This window comes from Homo sapiens, chromosome 6 (genome assembly GCF_000001405.40).
Source record: "Homo sapiens chromosome 6, GRCh38.p14 Primary Assembly".
NCBI lineage: Eukaryota > Metazoa > Chordata > Mammalia > Primates > Hominidae > Homo > Homo sapiens.
In genome coordinates this window covers 66,133,184-66,157,983 of record NC_000006.12, presented here as the reverse complement: position 1 = coordinate 66,157,983, position 24,800 = coordinate 66,133,184, and the positions used below count along the sequence as shown (strand labels likewise).

General features: G+C 38.3%; 1 long non-coding RNA gene across 1 annotated transcript in view; it reads right to left on the bottom strand.

Moving 5' to 3' along the window:
• LOC105377841 (uncharacterized) overlaps positions 1-23,033 on the bottom strand; it is a 41,388-nt gene extending 18,355 nt beyond the window's left edge. The window contains exons 1-4 of the long non-coding RNA XR_942657.1: positions 22,932-23,033; positions 21,649-21,890; positions 18,886-19,047; positions 9,539-9,620 (exon numbers count right to left, since the gene is read on the bottom strand). This is a non-coding gene — a long non-coding RNA (uncharacterized LOC105377841). The remainder of the gene's footprint in view (positions 1-9,538; positions 9,621-18,885; positions 19,048-21,648; positions 21,891-22,931) is intronic.
• Positions 23,034-24,800: the final 1,767 nt, after the last annotated feature.

Genomic DNA, 24,800 nt, shown 5'->3' with positions numbered 1-24,800 from the left:
GACTTGTCTATAGTAACTCTATTAGTAGTGAAATATTCTGCCCAAAAAATGTATTCTCATCTGTGCTTACAAATGAATAACTGCAGTAAGCAAGAGATTATACCAACATCTAAGATAGAGAAGAACAATACAAGAAAAGAAAACTGTAAGCCAATATATCTGATGAGCATAGGTATAAAAATCCTCAACAAAATACTAGCAAACCAAATTAAATAGCAACTGAACATGATCATACATCATGACCAAGTGGACTTTATCTCAGGGATGCAAGGATGCTTTAACATATGCAAATCAATAAATACGATACACCACATTAACAGAATGAAAGACAAACATGATCATCTCAAGCAATGCAGAAAAGCGTTTGACAAAATTCAATAATCTTTCCTGATAAAAATTCTCAAAATATTATCTGTAAAAACTGAACCTCATGATAATAAATGGCATTTAAGAAAAGGTCATAGCTAACTTCACATTTAATAGTGAAATTTCCTCTAAGATCAAGAATGATACAAGGATGTCCATTCTCGCCACTCCTAACCAATATAGGAATAGCCAGAGCAATTAGGCAATAAACAAATAAAAGGCATTTAAATCAGAAAGAAAAAAGTGAAAATTGTCTCAGTTTGCATATGACATAATCTTGTATATAGTAAGACTCCACCAAAAGTAGTTAGAACTAATAAATGAATTCAGCAAAGTTGCAGGATACAAAACCAACATTCAAAAGTCAGTAGCATTTCCATATAGCAACAATAAACTATCCAAAAAAACAGAAATAAAGAATCTGATTTACAATAGCATAAAAGTACACTTAAGAATAAATTTAACCAAGGAAGTGAAAGATATGTACACCAACTCTATGAGATATCAATGAAAGAAATTGAAGAAGACACAAATTAAGGGAAAAATATTTTCATCTATGGATCAGAAGAACCAATATTGTTAAACAGCCCACGCTATCCAAAGCTCTATAGATTGAATGCAATACCATTAAAAATTCAAAAGGCATTTGTCATATAAATAAGAAAGATAAGTGTATAATTCCTAAGGAACCAGAAAACACCTCAAATAGCTAAATCAATACTAAGAAGAACAAAGCCAAAGGCATCACCCTGAGTTCAAATTATTTTACAAAGATATAGTAATCAAAACAGAATACAGAGACCAGAAATAAACCCACCCATACATAGTCAACTAATACTCAACAAAGATACCAAAAATATGCAATAAGTTAAAGATACAGGCATATCCTGGAGAGATACGGATTTAGTTCCAGACCACTGCAATGAGGTAAATATCACAATAAAATAAATCACATGAATCTTTTCTTTCCCAGTGTATATAAAAGTTATATTTATATTATACCATAGTCTATAAGTATGCAAAAGCATTGTCTAAAAATACTTATTTCGATTTAAAAATATTGCTAAAAATGCTAATGTTCCTCTGAGCCTTCAGTATGTCATAAACTTTTTGCCAGTATATAGAGTTTTGCCTCAAAATTGATGGCTGATACCTTATCAGGGTGATGGCTGCTGAAGGCTGGGGTGGCTGTGACAATTTCTTAAAGCAAGACAACAATGAAATTTGCCACATGAATAGACCCCTTCCTTTCATGAAAGATTTTAGTCTATCATGTGATGTTGTTTAATAGTTTTTTACTCAAAGTAGAACTACTTACAAAATTGAAGTCAATTATTTCAATCCCTGACACTGCTTCATCAAATTTAATTCATATTCTAAATCCTTTGTTGTAATTTCAAAATTTTCACAGCATCTTCACAAGGTGTATATTTAATCTCAAGAAACTACTTTTTTTTGCTCTTCTATAAAAAGCAACTCCTCATTTGTTCAAGTTTTATCATGACATTGTAGCAAGTCAGTCACATCTTCAAGCTCCATTCTAATTCTAGTTCTCTTGGTCTTTCCACCACATGTGCAATTACTTTTCCCACTGAAGTCCTGAACTACTCAAAGTTATTCATAAGGGTAAGAATCAACTTCTTCTAAACTCCTGTTAATGTGGATATTTTGGCCTCTTCTCCAAATTATAGGTGTTTATAATAGCATCTAGAATGGTGATTTCTTTCCAGAAGATTTTCAATTGACTTTGCCCAGATCCATCAGATAAATGACTATCTATGGCAGCTATAGCCTTATGAAAGTATTTCTTAAATAATGAGACTTAAAAGTCAAAATTACTTCTTGATGCACTGGCTACAGAATGGACCTAACAAGGGAGTAAGCATGTCCTTTGAAGCTTTAAGGCCAAACATTGACTTCCCCTCTATAGCCAGGAAAGTCCTATGTGGCATCTTCTTCCAACAGAAGCCAATTTTGTCTCCATTGAAAAGTATAGACACCTTCATTAATGATCTTACTTAGATATTACAGATTATTTTCTGTAGCTTCCACATCACTGCTTGCTGTTTCACCTTGCCCTTTAAAAAATGCTTATGGTTATATAGTAGCTGTATATATTTATAGAGTACATGAGATATTTTGATACAGGCATACAATACATAATAATCACATCAGGATAAATGGGTTATTCATCTCACCACAAGCATTTGTACTTTCTTTGTGTTACAAACATTCCAATTATACTCTTTCAGTTATTTTAAATTGTACAATATGTTTTGACCGTAATTACCCTGTTGTGCTATCAAATACTAGATATTATTTATGCTAACTATATTTTTGTACCCATTAATCACCCCCACTAACTCCTCCCAGGTCCACTACCCTTCCCAGATACTGGTAACCATCATTCTACTCTCTATCCTCATGATTATAATATTAAATATTAAAACAATATGTAACCCCCATAAATGAGTGAGAACATGTGAAGTTTGTCTTTTTTGCCTGGCTTATTTCACTTAACATAATGACCTTTAGTCCAATCCATGATGTTGCAAATGACATGATCTCATTCTTCATTATGGCTAAATGGTACTCCATTGTGTATATGCACCACAGTTTTTTATTGATTGATTTGTTGATGAACACTTAAGTTGCTTACAAATCTGGACTATTATGAGTAGGGCTTCAATAGGATTATTATAAATAGGGAGTGTCGATATCTGTTCAATATATTGATTTCCTCTCCTTGGGGTATATACCTAGCAGTGGGATTGCTGGATCATATTGTAGTCCTATTTTCAGTTTTTTGAGGGAATGCCATACTGTTTTTCATAGTGGCTGTACTAATTTACATTCTCATCAAGTGTGTATGAGGGTTTGCTTTTCTTCACTTCCTAACCAAAATTTGCTATTGCCTGTTTTTTGGATTAAAGCCATTTTTACTAGGGTAAAATGATATCTCATTGTATTTTGATTTGCATTTCTCTGATGATCAATGATGTTGAGCTTATTTTCATACATCTGTTAGCCATTTGTATGTCTTCTTTTTATAAATGTACATTCAGAGTTTCTGCTTATTTTTTAATTGGATTACTGGAGTTTTTCCTATTGAATTTTTTGAGCTCCTTCTATATTCTGGTTATTAATCCCTTGTAGAAGATAGTTTGCAAATGTTTTCTCCCTTTCTGTGGGTTATCACTTCACCATGTGAATTATTTTCTTTGCCTTGCAGAGGCTTTCTAACATGATGTGACCCCATTTGTTCAATTTGGCTTTGGTTGCCTGTGCTTGTGGAGTATAACTCAAGAAATCTTAAATGACTTTTTCTTTTACAATTTGGATGTCTTTTATTTCTCTCTCTTCTCTGCTTTTCCTAGGATTTCCACTACTGTGTTAAACTACACTGGTGACTAGGTGCATCTTTGTATTGTTCCAGAACTTAGCGGAAAGCCTTTCAGGTTTTTTCTTTTTGGTATAATGCTAGCTGTGGGTTTGTCATACATGGCTTTATTGTGGTGAAGTATGTTTCTTCTATAGCCATTTTAAAGAGTTTTTATAATAAAGAGATGTTCAATTTTATAAAATACTTTTTCAGTATCAATTAAAATGGTTATATGGTTTTTGTTCTTCATTTCATCGCTATTATGTATCACACTGACTGGCTTGTGTATGGCAAACCCCACTTGCATTCTTGGAATAAATCTCACTTGGTCATGATGGACTTCTTTTTATACTATTGTTTAATTTAATTTGCTAGTATTTTCTTGAAGATTTTTCCAATATTCACTAGGGACACATTCTGACGTGTCTTTGTCTGGTTTTGTTATCAGTATAAAACTGGTTTCACAGAATGAGTTTGAAACTATTTCTTCTCCCCAATTTTTAAAAATATTTGAGTAGAACTGGTATTATTTCTACTTCACATGTTTGATAAAGCTTGGCAGTGAAACAATTGGGTCCCAGGCTTTTCTCTTCTGGGGGATTATTTACTTATTTCTTTTTACAACTTCTATCTCATTACTTACTGGTCTATTCAGGTCTTGAATTTTTCATGGCTCAATCCTGGTAGATTGTATGTCTAGGGATATATCTATTTCTTCTAAGTTTTCCAATTCATTGGCATATACGTGCTCAAAGTAGTCTCCAGTGATCCCTTGAATTTTGCAATATCAGCTGTAATTACCTGTTTTTCATCTCTGATTTTTTAAATTTATTTGTCTTTGTTAATCTGGCTCGAGTTTTGTCAGTTTTAACTTTTCAAAAAATGATCTTTTCATTTCTTTGACCTTTTGTTTTGTTTTTGCTTCAATTTTACTTATTTCTGCTCTGATTTTTAATATTTTTAATATTTCTTTCATTTTATTAATTTTGGGCTTGGCTTTCTCTTTCTTTTCTAGTTCCTTAAGATGCATCCCTGGGTTGTTTATTTGAAGTTTCTCTAATTTTTTTATGTAGGTGTTTATTGCTATAAACTTTCCTATTAGTACCACTTTCTCTGTATCCCATAGGCTTTGGTATGCTCTCTTTCCATTTTCATTTGTTTCAAGAAGTTTTAAAATTTTTTTCTTAATTTCATTATTAACCCACTGGTCATTCAGGAGCATATTGTTTAATTTCCATGTGTTTGTATAGTTTCAAAAACTTCTCTTCTTGTTTATTTCTAGTTTTCTTCCCATTGTAGTCAGAGAAGACACTTTTTTTGAATTTTTTAAGTTTGGGTTTTTTTGTGGCTTAACATATGGTCTGTCCTTAAGAATGAATATATGTGCTGAGAAGAATAATGTGTATTCTGCAACTGTTTGGGAAAATATTATTTAAATGTCTTGTAGGTCCATTTGGTCCATAGTGCAGATTAAATCTGGTGTCTTTGTTGTTGATCTTTTGCCTGGATGATCTATCTAAGGTGAAAGTGGGGTTATTAAGTCTTTAGCTATTATTGTATTGGGTCTATCTCTCTCTTTAGGTCTAATAATATTTACTTTATATATCTGAGTACTCCAGCTTTGGGTGCATATATATATATACACACATATACAATTGCTACATTTTCTTGCTGATTTGACCCTTTTATCATTATATGATGACTTTCCTTGTCTCTTTTTACAGTTTCTTTCTTGAAGCCTATTTTACCTAATATAAGTATAGCTACTCCTGCTCTTTTCTGGCTTCCATTTGCATAGAGTATCTTTTCCCATGTCTTTATTTTTAGTTTATATGAGTTTTTACAGGTGAAATGTCACCTTGCACTTGTATGTTATGGAGATTTAATGGTATGTTAACTCTTGAACCAGCCTCTGCTAGTATCAAATTTTTCTTCTGTATCTTTCTTACATCTCTCAACCTTCACAGGTTTGAAGTGAGTTAGGCCCTTGACCTGAAGTAGGCTTTGGCTTAAAGAAATGTTGTGTCTGGTTTGATCTTCTATCCAGAACACTCACTTTCTCCATAACAGCAAGAAGACTGTTTTGCTTTCTTATAATTTATGTGTCCACTAGAGTCTCATTTTAACTTCCTTTGAAAATCTCTCTATTGCATACACAGCTTGGGTAACTGTTTGGCACATGAGGCTTGCCTTTTGGCCTATCTTATGTTTCTACATGCATTTCTCTGTAAGCCTAATGATTTTTTCAAGCATTTGATTAAAGTGAGGGATATGAAATTCTTTCTTTTACATGAACACTTAGAGGCCATTAGAAGGTTATTAATTGGGCTAATTTCAATACTGTTGTATCTCAGGGAATAGGGAGGCCCAAGAAGAGGGAGAAATGGGGAATGGTTGGTTAGTACAATAGTCAAAGCACATACAGTCTCTATCAATTAAGTTTGTCATCTTTTATGGGTAGAGTTTGTGATGCCCAAAACTACTACAATAGTAACATCAAAGATCAGTAATCACAGGTCACCATAACAAATATAATAATTTTTTAAAGTTTAAATATTTAAAAAATAACGAAACTGTGACACAGAAACACAAAGTGAGCATATATTGTTGGAAAAATAATGCCAATAAAATTGAATGACACCGGGTTGTCACAAACCTTCAATTTGTTAAAAAAAAAATCAGTATTGTGAAGTACAATAAAATGAAGTATGCTTGTAGTCACTTTAGTAAAGGGTATTGGAAAAACCGGATAGCCATAATAAAATTGAAATTGGATTCTTATCTTACACTATACACATAAATCAACTCAAATAGACTATAGACTTAAATATGTCATGATATTATCAATATTCCAGAAGAAAATCTTCTTACTATTGGTCTTGGCAATAGTTTGTTTGGATATGACACCAGAAGCACATGTAACAAAATAAAAAGCAAACAAATGGAGCTACATCTAACTAAAAAGTTTTTGCACAATAAAGTAAACAACAAAATAAAAAGACAACCTATCAAAGGTCACAAAATATTTTCAAACCATCTATCTGATGAAGGGCTAATATGCAAAAGACATAAAGAATTCATACAACTCAACAGCAAAAATGAAAACAAATAAACCAATTAAAAATAGCCAAATGACCTGAAAAGACATTTCTCGAAAGAAGATATGCAAAAGGCTAGCAGATATCTGAAGAAATCTTCAACATCACTATTCAGCAGGGAAATGCACATCAAATCCATATTGAGATGTCTCCTCACATCTGTGAGGATGACTGTTATTTAAAAAGTAAAATAAAAAGTTAGTGAAAATTTAGAGAAAAGTAAACCCATGTACACTATTGGTAGTGTTGTTATTTGGTAAAGCCATCATAGAAAACAATATAGGGGTTCCTCAAAAAACCAGAAGTGTTTCCATCATAAGACACAGCAATCTCATGATGTAGTATACACCCAAAAGAAATGAAATCAGTATTTTGACAACATATCTGCACTCACATGTTCATTGCAGTATTACTCACAATAGCCATAATATAGAAAATTCTAAGAACTGGTCAATGAATGAATACATAAAGAATATGCAGTGTCTGAACACAATGGAATACAACTCAGCCTTAAAAAAAAGGAAACTCTGACATTTGTGACCTGTATAAACCTGGAGGACATTATTTTAAGTGAAATAAGCCAGACACAGAGAGAAAAATATTGTGTGATCTCACTTATATGTGCAATATAAAAATTTGGATTCATAGAGAGTAAATGGTGGTCGCAGGAGGCATGTGGTTCACAGGATAAAAACTTTTATTTATAAGTGACTAAGTTCTGGAGACCTAATTTACAACATCATCACTATAGTTCATAATAACGTATTGTACATTTGAAAGTTGCTGGGGAGTAGATATAGAATGTTCTTCCCCTCTCTCCCTTGCACCCCCCCAAAAAGATAAGTAAGAGATAGTTTAATTAGCTTGATTGGGAGTCCTTTTACAATGTACACATATATCAAAATATTGCACAGTATATCTGAAATACATGCAATATTTATTTATCACTCATACCTAAATAAAACTGAAAAAGATTATACAATGTGGATAATTATAGTAGCTTGTATTTGTATCATATTTTTGAATTTGTCTTAAAGAGAAGTAAAAAGGGACTTGTTTTGAAATTAAGATAATTAGTTTTTAATTATTTGATGCTTATATTACTTTCTCAGATATAATATACACATTAACTTATTTTGCTTTTGCCAAAAACAATTATACATAATAGGCAGCTTTTGTATATATCATGGTAGTAGTGAGTGTACTTAAATTTTAAAACATATTTTTAAAAAAACTTCTTTGTGAATTTAGATTAAAAACAATGGGGAAAGAATAAAAAGTATATACAAAAGTGTTGATTTTCTTAGAGGAAATAAGAAATTAGAATAAATAATGTGAGGGATTATAATTAATGCAGTGACAAATAAATGGATGCTAGTTGATGAAGGAATGTTTTACAAGTTTTCATACCCACATTTAATGATTTTTGCAAATTAGCCTTGAAGAAAAGCATTCAAGTGGGGAAACAAGTAGCTTTTGCTGTTAATACAACTAATGCAAGAACAGTATCCATTAGGTATTTACATAGTGAATATTTGTCTACTATTCCCCTTAATGAAAATAAAGTTTCAATTAGAAAGTCACTAAGGATTTGTTTCAGAAAATCTAATTGGCTATATTTTTAAGTAAGTATTTAAACTGTGTGAAATAAAAGAAAGCTAGAAGAATGAGAAACATCAAAAGGAGGGAGAAATTAGGAAGCCAGAACTTGGAATAGGTAATGGACAAGATAATTTTTTTCAAAGATGTATTGTGAAAGGACTGCCTTGCTGTCTTCAAAGGCAGCTCAAAAATTGCACTTTATTATCACCATTATTATTTCTGCAATCACTGTAACCACAGACATGCACAGCTTTACAGAGGCATGAGTAACAAGGAAGATAATTCACCACCCTTCTTTAGGACAATATTAGGAATTTGAAAGCAATATGTTTTCCCTTGTGTGAATAATGTGCTCATAGATGATATTAGATTTATTTTGAAGCATCACAGATAATTCCAATGACAAATGCATTTCATTGTATCTTTTACATTACTTTCTCAATTAAGCAATTTAGAGAGCTATCTACTGTATATTTACTGCAGCATTAGGCAAGACCTCCAATTAACCTAGTGAAGCCGCTGGATGTTAGCATTACCTTGGACAATCAAATGGATACTTTTCTTATCCAGAAGGCTATAGTTTTTTATAGTAAACCCCAAATACTTGTCATGATGGGATGACAATAGACCAAAATGAAAATACCTAGTATTCTAGTAGATATATAGGCTACAAAACAATGTTTAATAAAATACCCAGCACGATATGTCAGCTAAGGTATGGGAAAAGTCCTTTACAGAAGACACCCCTAAGTAATCTATTATTTTCACATAAAAATATCTTAAAAATAAATAAATAAAAATATCTTAAAAATTTTGTGGAAATATTTATAGGTTATTTATTTGTTTGTGGGGAGGTATACCTCAAAAATACGGTCACTGAAACAAAGTTTAAATAACAATAATAATAATAATGAAACATTTATCAGCAATGTATTACAATCAACTAAAAAAACACAACAATGTATCTTAAGCTCTAAGTTTGACTCCATAGAATGCTTAAAATTTTTAACTTTAGGTTTATAGCTCATTTATTAAATTTTTCTTGTAAATTTTATTAAATTAATTTTTGTGAAGAAGAAAAATTACTTACATTAGTCACAGAGGCAGTTAATTAAGAGGTAGCCATGAGGCTGCAGCTGTAATGTAGGATCTGCATGGGACAGATGGGGACACTGAATGGCAAAGAGAAAAAATGAGAGTAGAAATGAGACTTGAATCCATGTGGTGCATATTATAAGTACTTTAATGGAATCTAAATATTTATTTTATTTACTTTCATAAGCCAATAAACACCTTTATTACTAATTTTACAATGTTTACTAACATTCAAGATTACTTTGGAATTTTGTGGAAATATTTTACTACTGGTAAGAGGATAAAGATTACTATTAATGCAAATTAGATTTTTCTATTTATAACTTTAAACAAATTAAAGGCCTAAAATTAACTCTGAATTTTCTCTACATATATAAAGTTTAATAAACATATTTCTGTAACAATATATAATTTAACACATAAAATATAATTATGTTCTTACTTCATATGGTAGATTTTTCTATAAAAATTAATTTTACTCTTTTAAAATTACCAGTAAAGAGAAGCAGTAAATTCTGATTACATGAGCAAACCGTTAAAGTTAATTTTATAATTTTTAATTAAAAGTTGAAAAAATGGGAAATCAGTTTGGATTTTTTCTCCAAAATAAAAATACTATATTGTAACCAAGTCAAAACTTTTACAGCTCACTGTATGGCAGCCAATAAGTCAAGGGACTAGTTGATGGAGCAAAGAGTTGACTTTATTTAGAAAGCCAGCAAAACGAGAAGATGGTGGACTTCCATCCTAAAGAACCATCTTAATATGAATTTTAGATACCTTTTATGTTAGGGGAAGAGGAAAGAGGGAGGAGGTTGAGGTCAAGATATGATTGATGACCACAAACATCTATGCAGCAGTGAGGGTCTGAAGAGATTGTGAAACTTCTTTGTTCTTGATCCGGTCACAGTGCTCTTACAAAACTTTAGCATAACATTTTTATTTGTGTGTACGCCCTCTTTATATCCTCAAGGTTTAGTTTGGGGAAAGGACTATTATCATTCTTGCCTTAAAGTTACACTAAAAACTAAGTTACTCCCATTGTTAGTTTTTCTTACAAGCAGAGATAAGTAAAAGGATTTATCCTAAAAGTTATCACCACAGGGAGAGGAAGAGTTAGAAGCAAAATGGAGATAGTCATGCGGGGCCCCCTTTTCACTGGTACATATATGGCTTTCTATGACAGAGTAGGAGTTTGTGCAATCTCATTTCTCTTGAATGTCACACAATAGCTTTGGTGACATGAGTGTGGATACAAAAGGTTGTCACACTTGCCCTTTTCCCTCACTGGCAGAAGGCAGCCACCTCACATGAGAAGTCAGAGGACCCACTGAGCTGTTAACTCTTAAGCCACCTGTGGACAGCAGAACTTACAGAGCACTGTAACACTCCCTCTGGGGCTTCAGGGGTTGCACCCTCGCCCCCCAGATGCTGCTGCGGGGCATGCATGGAATCTGCTCCTGCTGGTGCCCAAAATCACTAGTCCTGGTTTCTGCACCCACTCACCCATGAGCTCCCTCCCATGAGGTGTGGAATGCAGCAGGTCTGAGTGAGTGAAGTTTACTTCTGCCATCACTGAAGTGGCTGACTAGTTCCATTCATGCACTCCAGTTCCCACCTCATTCACTCACATGCTCCCTCCCATGAGGAGCTGAAAGCTGTGGACTGGGTAAATGAGGCACCCCTGTCAAGGGTCCCACGAGGGGTCACGGAAATATCCCGCTTCATCTAGGGATATGTCTGGGATGTATCAGAAGGGTGAATAAATAAATGCAGATATACTGGATCTGTGTCTTTACTTTTTTCCCAAGACTTCTTGTCCTCAGACTTTCCTCTGAGCTATGCCATTTTCAGATAACAGGATGCAACCCTGCCATATCTCTCTTTCAGGTGAAAGAAAGGTTGGCTCAGTGTCCCTTCATGAAGGTCTACCTATCATGTGGGACCAGAATAAAGTCCTGGAGCTACTCTGAAGTCATCTGGCCAAAGACACTCTTTAGCATTGCTGGAAGTCCCCTAGACTGGGCCCTGTCTTCAACCACCTGACAACCAGACTTTTCTGTCGCATCTTTTCCGTTCTTCTTTCAGGGTGTGAAATGGCTCCTATCTCTTCTTTTATAATGTTAAGGGTTTTGCTACAAACTGCAGAAATGTTATTAGGTAAAATGGGCATTTGGGCCAGCCACCAGATATGCAGTTCAGAAAATGTGATTTCCATTTGTTCTTAGAGATGCCATCCCAACCCCCTCCCCAACGGTGAGTGCAGCACACAGTGGCTCCCTCCTTACCTTCTCCCCTCCCAGCTGGGGTACTTGGTTGTGTTCGCAGCATGCACTTGCCACACCCAATGGCCATGTGGGGTGGGTGAGACCCGCAGCCGCTGCCAGGGCACCAAGACACTCTAGGGCGCCAGGGGTCCCATGCAGCCCGTTGACCAGTGTTTCCCACTTGCAGTCCCCTTCTGCCACATGCCCAAAGAGTCTTTTCTCCTCTGTCTGAGGGGTCCAGCTCGGTCCAACCCACGGGAAGAATAGGGTGATTCAAGGAACCCATATTCATAGAGCAAGAGTTTCTTCGCCCGGGCGTGGTGGCTCACACCTGTAATCCCAACACTTTGGGAGGCCGAGGTGGGCGGATCATGAGGTCAGAGATCGAGACCATCCTGGCTAACATGGTGAAACCGTGTCTCTACTAAAAATACAAAAAATTAGCCGGGCATGGTGGTGGGCACCTGTAGCCCCAGCTACTCAGAAGGCTGAGGCAGGAGAATGGCGTGAACCCGGGAGGCGGAGCTTGCAGTGAGCCGAGATGGCGCCACTGCACTCCAGACTGGGCGACAGAGTGAGACTCCGTCAAAAAAAAAAAAAAAAAAAAAAAAGATTCTTCTCCCACTTGAAAGAAAAATCAGATCTGACGGATCCAAAGCCAGGCCACAGGCACAGTGTAAATTGGCAGGACTAGTTTCTGCCGATTACGCCCTCTCTTCTTGGAAATAGGCCATGCTCAATGGTATAGATAAGGCTCAGGGAACCCAAAAATTGGGGATGGAGGTGTAGGTGTGTGTGTGAATAATTCCTTTTCCCTAGGGCCTTCCTGCTTTATGAGTGCAGGCCACAACGGCACCCATGGGTGGTGTCTAAGGTCTCCAGGTCTCTGGGATAAAAAGACAAAACAGAAAAGAGGGAATCCTGTATTCTTTCTCTCCCACATGCTGAGTTTTTGCTGAAAGAGGGAAGGGAAATGTGGGACATCTATTTTCCTCTTCAGAATGGGTGACCAACTATCTTCACCATCCTCAGTCTATATTTCTCCGAAGTGTATTTTGAATCACGGGGGCTGCTTTGATCCTTAGACTCTGGAGCAAAAATGTGTTTTGCACAAAGGCTTAGCCAAATTATAATCTGCTAGAAGGACTGACTCGGGAAGGACCCATTCATCTTCATACCATCCTGCAGTTGGACCTTTTCTGTAAATATGAAGACAAGTGGTCTGAGGCCCCATATGTGCAGGCTTTCTTTACCCTTCAGGGTAATAATCCAGGCCTTTGTCAACAGTGTAGGATTGATCAAGCCCTCCATGTTGCCATCTCAGGAGAGGCTGCCCAATATCAGGAAACTAAAGAAACAAACTCCAGAGGCACCTCAAGCAGGACGGTCAGCTCTGTCTGTCCCTGTTCCTCTGGGTCCACTCCATCTTCCCTATTCAGTTTCTCACTCGCACTTGCCCTCTCCTAGAAATCCTCATCCTAGATAAGCCCCAGTCTCACTGTTGCCCCTCCAAAAGATGCCTGGTCAATTTGGCCCCAGTAAGATCCAGGTCCCCTTCTCTCTACAGGACTTAAAGCAAAGTAAGGGGCATCTTGGTAAGTTTTCTGATGACCCTGACAGATATTTAGAGGCTATCCAGAATTTAAGCCAAGTATTTTAACTCACCTGCAAAGGTGTTATGTTACTTTTGAATCAAACCCTGACTAACATTGAGAAGCAGTCCACTCCACAAGCAGCAGAGAGATTTAAGAATGAGATTTGTATCACATATACTGTCAGAGAAGGGGTCAAACTTTATCCAACTGGAAGATAAGTAGTACCATTGAATGACCCTAAACGGGATCCCAATGATGAGAAGGGAGAATGGAAGAGAAGACACTTTCAGGTGTGCATAATGGAGGGCTTACATGGGCCTAGAACCAAGCCTCTTGTTTATACCAAGCTATCCATAATAGATGAGGAATTTGATGAGATTCCACTGCCTTCCTGAAAAGGCTAAGAGAGGCCTTGGTAAAGCACACCTCTCTACCTCCTGATTCAGCTGAAGGACAACTAATCCTAAAGGATAAATTTATTACTCAGGCAACCCCTGATATCAGGAGGAAACTATACAAACAGGTCCTGGGACCAGACAGTACTTTAGAGAACCTCCTGAAAGTGGCCACCCTGGTCTTTTATAATAGATACAAGAAGACCCCAGAGAGAGAGAGAGAAGACAAAGGAAAGAGGTAGAAACTTTAATGGCCACCATGGAAGCCCACAAGCCCCAGAATCTCTGAGGTGCACTTGTTAACAGCTACAGATTTGGTAAATCAGGGCATTTTAGGGAGGATTGCCTAGGCAGCATGAAAAACCCATCTTGACCCTGTTCAATCTACAGTGAGGATTACTGGAAGGTGAACTTCCCCCAGGGATTCTGGTCACTGGGCCCAGAGCCAATTTCCCAAATGGTCCAGTAGGAATGAGGAGTCGTGGGGCTTCTCTCCCTGGCTCTGATGGTCCAGATCACCATTAACATCCAGGAGCCCTGGGTAATTCTGGAAACTGAAGGAAGGAAAGTAGACCTCTTTCTGGACACCGGGGCTGGTCTCTTGGTTATTTTCTCCAATTCTGGCCCCCTCTACTTTCTTAGCATGACCATGTGGGGTGTCTCAAGAAGGTCTTTAACCTGATATTTTTTCCTAATCCCTTAGTTGTTGGTGGGGAGACCTCTTGTTCACTTGTGCCTTTCTAATTATGCCTGAAAGCCCAACTCCTCTGTTTGACAGGGATATTTTGGTCCATATGGAGACCACCTGATGGCTTCAGTACAAACTCTTTGTTTCTTCCTAGTAAATACCAATATTAACCTAGAAGTTTGGGCAATTCAAGGGAAAATTGGCTGAGCCAAAATTGCCATACAGGTCCAGATCCATTTTAAGGATCCCAACCCCTTTTCTAACCAGAAACAATACTCTGTGAAACCAGAAGTTAGGAAAGAACTAGAAGCCATCATTGGTAATTGAAGGTGGCAGGGCCTCCTCAAACCCTAAAACAGACCTTGTGATACCTCAATGTTGGGGGTACAAAAACCCAATGGGAAATGGAGACTACTTCAGGACCTTCAACTCATTAATGAGGTTGTGGTTTCAATTCACCAGGTGGTTCCCAATCCATACACCCTGCTAGCTCAAACACCTGAGGGAACTAAATGGTTCATAGTCCTGGACCTAAAAAATGTCTTCTGAATACCATTACACCCTGACTGACAGTATTTGTTTACATTTGAGGATCTCTCTAACCAAATCACCCATTTATCCTGGATGATGTTACTCAGGTATTCTGAAACACTCACCACTTCGTTTGGGCAGGCCTTATCAAAAGACCTCTCTGAGTTTGTTTATCATCAGGGTAAAGTTTTACAATATGTAGTTGACATTATTCTGTGCACTCCAACCGAGGAAATCTCTCAAGAGAGCAGTAAGGCTCTTCTTAATTTTTCTGGCTAACAGAGGATATAAGGTTTTAAAATCTAAAGCTTAGCTCTGTCAAGCTTCAGTGAAGTGACTAGGTCTGGTCTTTTCAGAGGGGACCTGGAAATTGGAGGAAGAAAAGATTAAGCCTGACTTCTCCTTTTCCCTCCCCAAACCCTCAAGCAACTGAGGGGATTCATAGATATTATGGGATTCTCCAAACTATGGATCCTTGGCTACAGTGAAATAGCTCATCCCTTATATCACCTAATAAAAGAGACTTAAGCAGCTAATACCTACTCTTTAATTTTGGAACCAGAGGCTAGAAAGGCCCTTGACTAACTAAAACAAGGCTTGCTTAAGGCACCAGTCATAAGTTTTTCCATAGGAAATATTTTTAACTTTTACGTGTCAGAAAGGAAGTGAATGCTCCTGGGAGTTGTAACCCAGGCTCGGGGTCCAGCCCAGCAGCCTGTAGGGTATTTAAGTAAGGAACTTGTTTTTGTAGCCAAAAGATGGCCAGCCTGTCTCTGGGCAGTTGCAGCAGTAGCTTTGCTGGTACAGGAGGCTACTAAGTCAACCATAGGAAATAACTTAACTGTTTATACTCCACATAATGTGGCAAGACTGCTGTCTTGTCTATGGCTAATGGACAACTGCCTCTTCAGGTAACAAGCTAGCTCTGCTATTATAGGGTCTGCATTCCACTTAACAAGCTGTCCCTAGTCCCTAAATCCAGCCACTTTCCTTCCACAGGAAGCTGGAGAGCTTGAATATGACTGTGAACAGACAGCAGTACAAACCTATGTGTCCAGAGAGGACCTCAAAGAAACACCATTAGAGAAACAAGACTGGATTACCTTTATGGACAGTTCTTTTGTAGAACAAGGAATCCATAAAGCAAAGTATGCAATAGTTACTCTGAATGACATTGTTAAGAGCATGTCTCTCTCTTCAGGCACAAGTGTTCAACTAGATGAGCTAATTGTGTTCACAGGGGCACCGAAACAAGGGAAAATGGTTCACATTTATGCTGATTCTAGTCAGCATAGTCTTCCTCACAGCTAACAAGTCTCCCATTAAATACCATCAGGAAATTAGTAGACTATTATCCTAGGTTATCCTCTCATGAAAAGTGGCAGTAATACATTGTAAATGCCACCAAAAAGTGACTGGATAAAATAGCCAAGAGAAATACGTTGATAGACCAAGTGGCTAAATCAGCAGCAAAAGGGGTCCACATTTAGGAGTCACTTGAAGCCCCACTGATCTGAGAGGGCTTCATAAGTGAAATAAAACCTCAATGATCTGCAAAAATAGAATGGGCCACCTCTTGGGGATATATCTTTCAGTCCTCAGGATGGCTAAAATGAGAGGATGCCAAGCTTCATCTACTGGCTGCCAACCAATAGAAAGTCCTCAAAAGCCTTCACCAGGCCTTCCACCTAGGTAAGGATAAAACCTATCAACTGGTCCAGATCTTTTTCTCAGGTAAAAACCTGATACAAGTGGTTAAATAGGTTTTTAATGCTTTCCAGACTTGCCTTAAAAAGAATCCCCTCAACTGATGCCTTCTTCCCGCAGGAACCCAAAGGACAGTTGGCTACCCAGGGAAAGACTGGCAAATGAATTTCACCAGTATGCCAATGGTAAGGGGCATCTAGTACCTCCAAGTATGGATAGGTACTTTTACTAACTGAGTAGAAGCATTTCTATGTTGAACAGAGAATACCTCTGAGAAGATTAAGATATTAATTAATTAGATACTTCCTTGTTTTGAACTTCCTAAGTACCTCTAGAGTGATAATGGACCCTCATTCAAGGCAGCTGTCACCCAGGGAGTCTCAAAGGCACTAGGCATACAGTACCATCTTCATTGTGCTTGGATACCAGTATCCTTGGGAAAGTTAGAAATGAAAAATGATATTATCAAAAGACACTTCAGGAAACTGTCTCAGGAGATTGATATCCCTTGGACTATCCTCCCCATATCCCTACTACATGTTAGAAACACCCCTTCAAAGTTAGGTTTGAGTCCGTTTGAAATGATATATGGAGGGCCTTATCTCACTGATGTTTTTTGCTAGACTAAGAAACCTCTGATTTAATTAAACATATAATTTTTTTGTGCCATATCTAAGAGGAACTGAAACAACTGATGGAGGCCCAATCCGATGAACTAGGCCCACTCAATTCAACCCAAGGAATCTAGTACTGGTAAAGGTACTTCCTTCTCTTGCTCTCTCTATAAGCCCAGACTGGCAGGGACCTTACACCATACTTCTTTCTACTCATATGGTAGTGAAGGTCACTGGAATAGATTATTGGATTCATTATAGCTGAGTAAAGGACTGGGAAGTTAACAGAATTACCCTGTCAACCCAGAAGAGCATCCAAAGTACCAATGTGAAGATATCGGTGACCTCGAGCTAAAACTTACAAAAGATTAGTGTTAATAATTAACCTCCCATTGGTATCCTTTTTATAGTCTTGCCTATGCTTGTTATTCTTACCTTCGATCTGTTCTATACCAGATCGAATAATTTCAGAATTAGTATATTTCACTTTTTATTTCTGTAATCTTTGGCAATAGATTCTTTCCTCTTAACTCCTTTTTTGTATAATACACATATTTGATCTATGCATACTTAACCTTGTAAAATTTGTTTCTTCTTGTCAAGAGGCCATTAAACTCCAAATGATCAGGCAACTGGAGCCTCAGATGATGGCTCCCTTCTGCCGAGGAACCTTAGGTAGACCTCTGGGAGGAATTCCTCAGGGAGGAATTCTCCCCAAAGCAATGTCCCCTGTAAGCAGGGAGTAGCTATGATTGGTCATCATCCATATTCTAACTGCAGTTAGATGTGTCTCTTAAGAGGAGGGAAATAATAGGAAGAGGAGGCAGAGAAATTCTAGGCAGAACAAGGTGGTCCCCAACAAAATCCCATCCTCAAGCCTGAAACCATGGCTCAAAGTGAAAACTTACATCCCTGTTTTTCTGCTTAAATGTTGTCTTTTTCAAAAACACCCATGGCCCCGCTCCACCCATACTGCGACTAAAAAAACCCAGACTCAGCTGGCAGAGAGAGGAGAAGCAGCTGGATGTCAAAGACTACTGCTGGACTTTGGAGAAAATTGGCTTGACTTCAGAAGGATAGCGAGATGTCATAACTTTGGAGAAGAATCTGGTCAAAGATGGCCGGACTTCAGGGAAAGATTAACTTCCTGCCCCATCCCATTTTCAGGTTCCCTTCCTGCAGAGAACCACTTTCTTTGGCAATATAACCTCCCACATTTACTATCCTTCAATTTCTTCATGCGACCTAATTTCTCCTGAATGCCAGACAAGAGCTCAGGTGCCACATGTGTGGATACAAAAGGCTGTCACACTTGCCCTTTGCCCTCACTAGCAGAAGGCAGCCACCTCATGTGAAAAGGCAGAGGGCCCACAGAGCTGGTAACACTTAAGCCGTCCATGGATGGCAGAGCTAGAAGAGCAATTTAACACTCCCTCTGGAGCTTCAGGGGTCACAGGAAACCCCCATTTGCTGTCACAGGGCCTGCACAGAGTTTATGCCTGCCAGAACCCAAGAGCACTCGCTCTGGCTTCTACATGCACTCACCTGTGTGCTCCCTCTCATGATGGATGAAGCGCAGGAAGTCTGAGTGATTGAAGTTTGCTCCTGTCAGCTCCGAAGTGGGTGGTTGTTTCCAGAGTTCATGCATTCCAGTTCCCACCTCGTTCACTTGCATGCTCCCTCCCATGAGGAGTTGAAAGCTGCAGGCTAGGTAAATGAGAAACCCCTGATCAATGGGTTGTCTCTGGGTCAGGAGAATAGAGAATGGTCACCCGAAGTCAGAACTCCTGAGCTTTCTTCAGGGCTCATGGAATTTGACGAGACTTACAAAGGGTTCTCTGAGTTATGCCTGCTGGATTTCCATCAGCAATTCCTTCAGAGATCCTCTCAACACATACAAACACAACAAAGACAAGACAGACCGAAGGCTTTCCAAACCAAGATCCCTAACCAAAAGTTCTAAGAGTATTCCTTCCAAACTAACCTCTTATTTTCCCACTTCCATTTTCCATTTTCCATTTACCTCCTTCAAACCTTCCAGATTGAGGAGAAATCTCTCAAACCAAGACTACTTCTATTAATTAGGAAGAGCCAATTGAGACTCCCAAAGGTGCCAAACCAAGACGCTGAAGGATCTGGACCAATCAGGAGAAGAAAGGAGGTATTGGCAGCAACTAGAATACTCACCAAATTAGACACTCCATAATCAGAATACATCTACAGGCACTCCATTATGGGACTACAGACTCCTCATAATGGGGATAGAGTTATGGGATGTCTTCCCAAGACTATTTCTCTATTGTAATCAAATCCATGCACATTGGGTTGGCAATGACCCACTGGTAGAAACAGTGTCAGAGTCAGCCCCCAGTCCAAGAGAACTAGGTGGCCACTTGGCTGGCCTCCAGATCCATCACTGAAGTGAGGCTCCTAAACCACAGGCAAATAGTCCCAAGGGCAACCTCTGCTGAGCCCCCAAATTTGTAAACACCCAACGTGTTAAACTTGCCACTGCCTAGAAAAAGCCAATTTATCAAGACAGGGAATTTGCAATACAGAATTACTCACACAGAGCTGGCTGTGTGGGAGATCAGAGTTTTATTATTACTCAAATCACTCTCCCTGAGCATTCGTGGATCAGAGTTTTTAAGGATAATTTGGTGGGTAGGGGCCACTGAGTCAGGAGTGCTGATTGATGGGAGCAGAGATAAAATCAGAGCAAGTTGAAGCTGTCTTCTTTTGCTGAGTCCGTTCCTGGGTAGGGGCCACAAGATAAGATGAGTCAGTTTATTGATCTGGGTGCTGCCAGTTGATTCATCAAGTGCAGAGCCTGCAAAATATCTCAAGCACTGATCTTAGATTTTACAATAGTGATGTTATCCCTAGGAGCAATTTGGAGAGGGTCAGAATCTTGTAGCCTCCAGCTGCATGACTCCTAATCCATAATTTCTAATCTTTTGGCTAATTTGTTAGTCCTACAAAGGCAATTTAGTCCCCAGGTAAAAAGGATATTTGTTTTGGTAAAGGGCTGTTATTGTCTTTGTTTTAAACAACAAACTAAGTTCCTGACAAAATTAGTTTGACCTTTGCAAAGGAATGAATAAGGATAGCTTGGAGGTTAGAAGTAAGATGGAGTTGGTTAGGCCAAATCGCTTTCACTGTCTCAGTTATAATTTTTCAATGGCAGTTTGAAAACCAAAGGCTAGGTTGTCAGGAGACCTGCTGTTCTGTGGGAACCTGCTGGTCTTCTGTGCTGGACAATGTCAGAAAGGGTTGTTGGGTATGTCTACAGGTGGTCTCTTGATGCAGAAGGCCAAGGGTGGGGAATCTTTGGGGATAGTGGTGTTGCTGTAGGTGAAACTGTTGCAGCCTGGGGATTTTTACCCAGCAGGCAGCTGTGGGGACCACCAACTCATTCTCCACTCTCCCTTGAAGAGATCTCCTTCTCAGTATCTGGCCCAATTAGTTAGTTTTGTCCCAAACTTCCTATGCCCAGATCACTAGGCAATTAGATGTCCTGAGCCAAGGGAATCCACCAAGCAGAAGCTGTGGCTGGCAGACAAACCACACTCTTCCCAAGCCAGCCCTGTGGTGGGAGGCACACCCGGCTTCCAACATTGGCCCACAAACCCATGCCTCTCTCTCCCCAGTGTTCTGAGAGTGAGGGCTTTTCCCTCACTTGAGTTCTGGCCACAGATCTCAGTTCTGCACTCCTAGGTTCTGTGCTCTAACTCTGGGGTGTTCACACCAGACCCATGGCTTTTTAATCCGGCCTCTAAATATTATGCACCAGCTGTGTTAGGGACCAAGATGCTCTCAGGCCATTGGCAAAACACTCTCACAGGGGTTACTGGAGAAGTGCTCCAGCACAGGTAGCCAGCAAAATGCTCCAGTGGGGGCCACCAGAAAGGCAATTCAGTGGAACAGTTGAGACTGTGCTACAAGCCTGCTTCTGTGGGAGTGGCCAGGCATGGACCTTTGGAGGGGCTTGCAAGTAAGGTGCATACAGACCTGACATCCCCAGTCTTATAGAAAAGACAGCCCTGTTTTTTCTAGATCTGGCAGTGAACAAAGGCTACAGCCACTCACAGCAGTATGGAGAGCCCTGGGAGATAGACCCCTATGGCTGTGTTTTGTTGCAGCTGTCTCTTTATAAAACACTCTAGGCTCTGTGAAGGCATAAGCTCTGTATCTGCCTACTTTCTGGGAAGTATCTCCAACTAGCTCAACTGTCGATGGAGTTTGTAGGATCCTTTGTAGCTAGGATACCACAGTGACAGTGGGTTGTCCCACAGTTATTTAACTCACCACTTCCTTAGGAGTCATTCAGGGCCAAGAATGAGTCGTGGTGCACACAACAACCCCTTGCAGGGCTCTTAGGTTCCCCCTCTTCAGCCTCATTGTCGGTGTCACTTCTCTATCAACTCTCAATTTTTTTTTCAAAAGATGAGTTGGATATATGTTCATTTACTTGATATTATTGTCTCATTTGGTGCAAGAGGCTTTTCCTGGCTATGTCTTGTTGGCTATCTTGTGCCTTCCTTTTCTTTCTTTAGATTGAAAAAGATACTGATTAATAAGAAAGATAAGCTGACTGGACCAGAGAAAATGCACACCCCAAGAAACTCACTGACTAATATGTGTCTGGGTTGAACTGAGTAATGATAGTGAGGAGAGAATTATATGATTGACACTCCTGGGTCTCCTCAAAAGGGTATGTAGTAAGCCATCAATGGGCTTGAGAGCCACTACAGTGCAGAAGCATAAAGGACTGCAGCACCACCCAGGAAAAAATTTGCAGGGCCTTAGAAGGAAATATAGTCTTTCAGCAAAATCAACTGACAGACAACAGATACTTAAAGACCCTCTTGACCCAGTACATTACCAAACACTGAAAACCATCTGAATAGCAACAGTTCTAAATCTGAAAGCAGATACCACAGGACACCTGGAATAGAAATAATTTGGGACCCAAAATATACACAGACTGGTCTAGGATTAATTCATTATCCAGTTGTGGTCCCAGAATTAATATAAAAAAAGAAAAAGTGCCAGTCTGCTTAGAATCCAGGTTCACATTACTCTTAAAATAAATGAAAATGTATTGATATTCTAGACCAAAAATTTTAAATTTTAATAGATATTATTGGAGAAAAGACTATGTCTTATCTCTGGTCTGCCCTTAGCATATTTATAGTTCAGGGAGTGATAATATCAATTAAAGTCCATATACTATGTGTTGAATACCCAAAACTTATAACCAATCAATGAAATGTGTTTTATCTTCTTCACCTGACTAACATTCCTTCATAATAATGTGGAAGATCATATCTGAGTGGAGGATACTTAGACTCTTCTGAGCTCTGAACAAGAATATGCTAGTAAGGAGAGAGCCAGCTCCTGGCCTTTGGCTGATCTCCCCTTCTCCACCTCTGCCAGGTTCAAACTCTCACCATGACAAGAGTTTTGCACATGAGCATGGACACAACAGCCTATTTAAGCTGTGTCCACAGTGTGTGACAAGAACCATTCTTTGTCCCCAGTCTTCTACTCCTAGGCTTAGAGATCAACGTAATTGCAGCAGAGCCCACCCTGTAGAGGATACATTGAAGAAGAGATCCATGTCTATGCAGGTCCTGGAATCAACTCGTGAAACATTTAGGCTTGGTTTTTCAGGTAGTGGATATCAGGACAATGATCTGGAAGGAAGGATATGGGATCAAGGTGACCATATAACTTTGGGAATTTTAGAGAGGGAGAAAGGGATTTTATGACTGACACTTACATAAAGGTAAGTGTCACAGTTCACTGAGGATAACCTAGAACTCAGACTTTTTCTATGATTTTTGTCTATGTAACTTAGAAGTAGTTATAGAGTTAGAGAAAAAATACAAATAGTTCTTATTATACAGTTTTTCAGTCATTCTCAGTTTTTAAATATAATTATTGTTTTGCTTTTAAAAAGCTTTAATGTATTGAAGTTTCTAAAAATAAAAATATTATTTGATAATTTGACCTCTAGAGTAAAAAATTGTAAAGTAAGGAGTCAATATCTGAATATACCCGATGAAGAATTATCCTTCTTATATATTACATGATCCAAATATAAACAGCTGTGGTTATTTATCTACAATCAAAAGAAGTTCCGTTGCGTGAAAATGCACTCTCAGGTTAACTGTTTAGAATGAGGTTGTTTTATTCAGGAAGGATTTGGTTTCATGGGTCCAAGAGTCTTCTGATAAGCCCAGCTTATAAAGGTAGGTTATTGTAAATGTACAGAGAACTCCAGGCATCCAATTTGAAGCAACACAGTTGGAACTCCCTCAAAACTGGAAAGTCTTTAGACAGTGATCCTCTCTCCACGTCTAGGACTGCATGGTCTTTGTTTTCTATTCCTCTGTGTACACATACATCAATATCTCCTAAGTATAACAGTTCTTCTGCTCAGTGTTCGGTTTCAGCTTCCTCAAATTTAATTTGCTCAGTGTTGGCATATAATGGTGCCATTGTTAGCTGGTTCTACTTACTTTACTGCCCACAATGTCCAATTTAAGAGTCAAGTCACTCATTTTTCTATTTCTTATTTCAAATTACTGAATGACAGAGTTTGGATATTTGTCCCCCCATATCTCATGCTGAAATGTGGTCCTCAGGGTTGGAAGTGAGGCCTGGTTGGAGGTGTTTTTGGGTCATGAGGGTGGATCCCTCAGGGCTTGGTGTTGCTTGAAAATAGTGAATCAGTTCTCATGAGATCCGGTTGTTATAAAATTATGTGACTTCTCCTCACTGTCTCTCTTGCTCCCATTCTTGCCATGTAAGACACCTGTTCCCTCTTTATCCATCATTATTGTAACCTTCCTGAGGTCCTCAACAGAAGCTGATAGCAGTGCTATGTTTTCTATGCAGCCTGTAGAACTGTGAGCCAATCAGACATCTTTTCTTATAAATTGCACCACCTCAAGTATTTCTTTATAGCAATTCAGTAATGACCTAACACTCCGATAAAGAATGGAATAGGCTCAAACTTGGACAACTGTCAATCCCTTTTGATGGTTCTTTATTTTTGGTGAAAATTTATTTTAGCTCTTCTTTACATAAGGTGGCAAAAGTCCATTTATATGTTTATATGAATTGAAAACTGCAGAAGGGAGATACATCTCATTTTCTTAAAGATAGTCATAGATCAAACAGATTTTTCTATTTTTAAGAGAGAGAATGAGAATAAGAAGAATTTATTTGGATTTATATCAATAACAACATACAGAGTTACATTATTAGATATTTTTTGAATAATTTGTTCTCAATTTTTTATAATCAAATTTTCAAAAATATTCACAAATTGTTTCTTAACATCTCAAACTTGCAGAATAGGTGCTTTTTGTAATTATAATACATTCTTTGTAGTTTTTTCACATTTGAAAAAATCCAGACATAGTTGACAACTATTTTATTTAGTAATT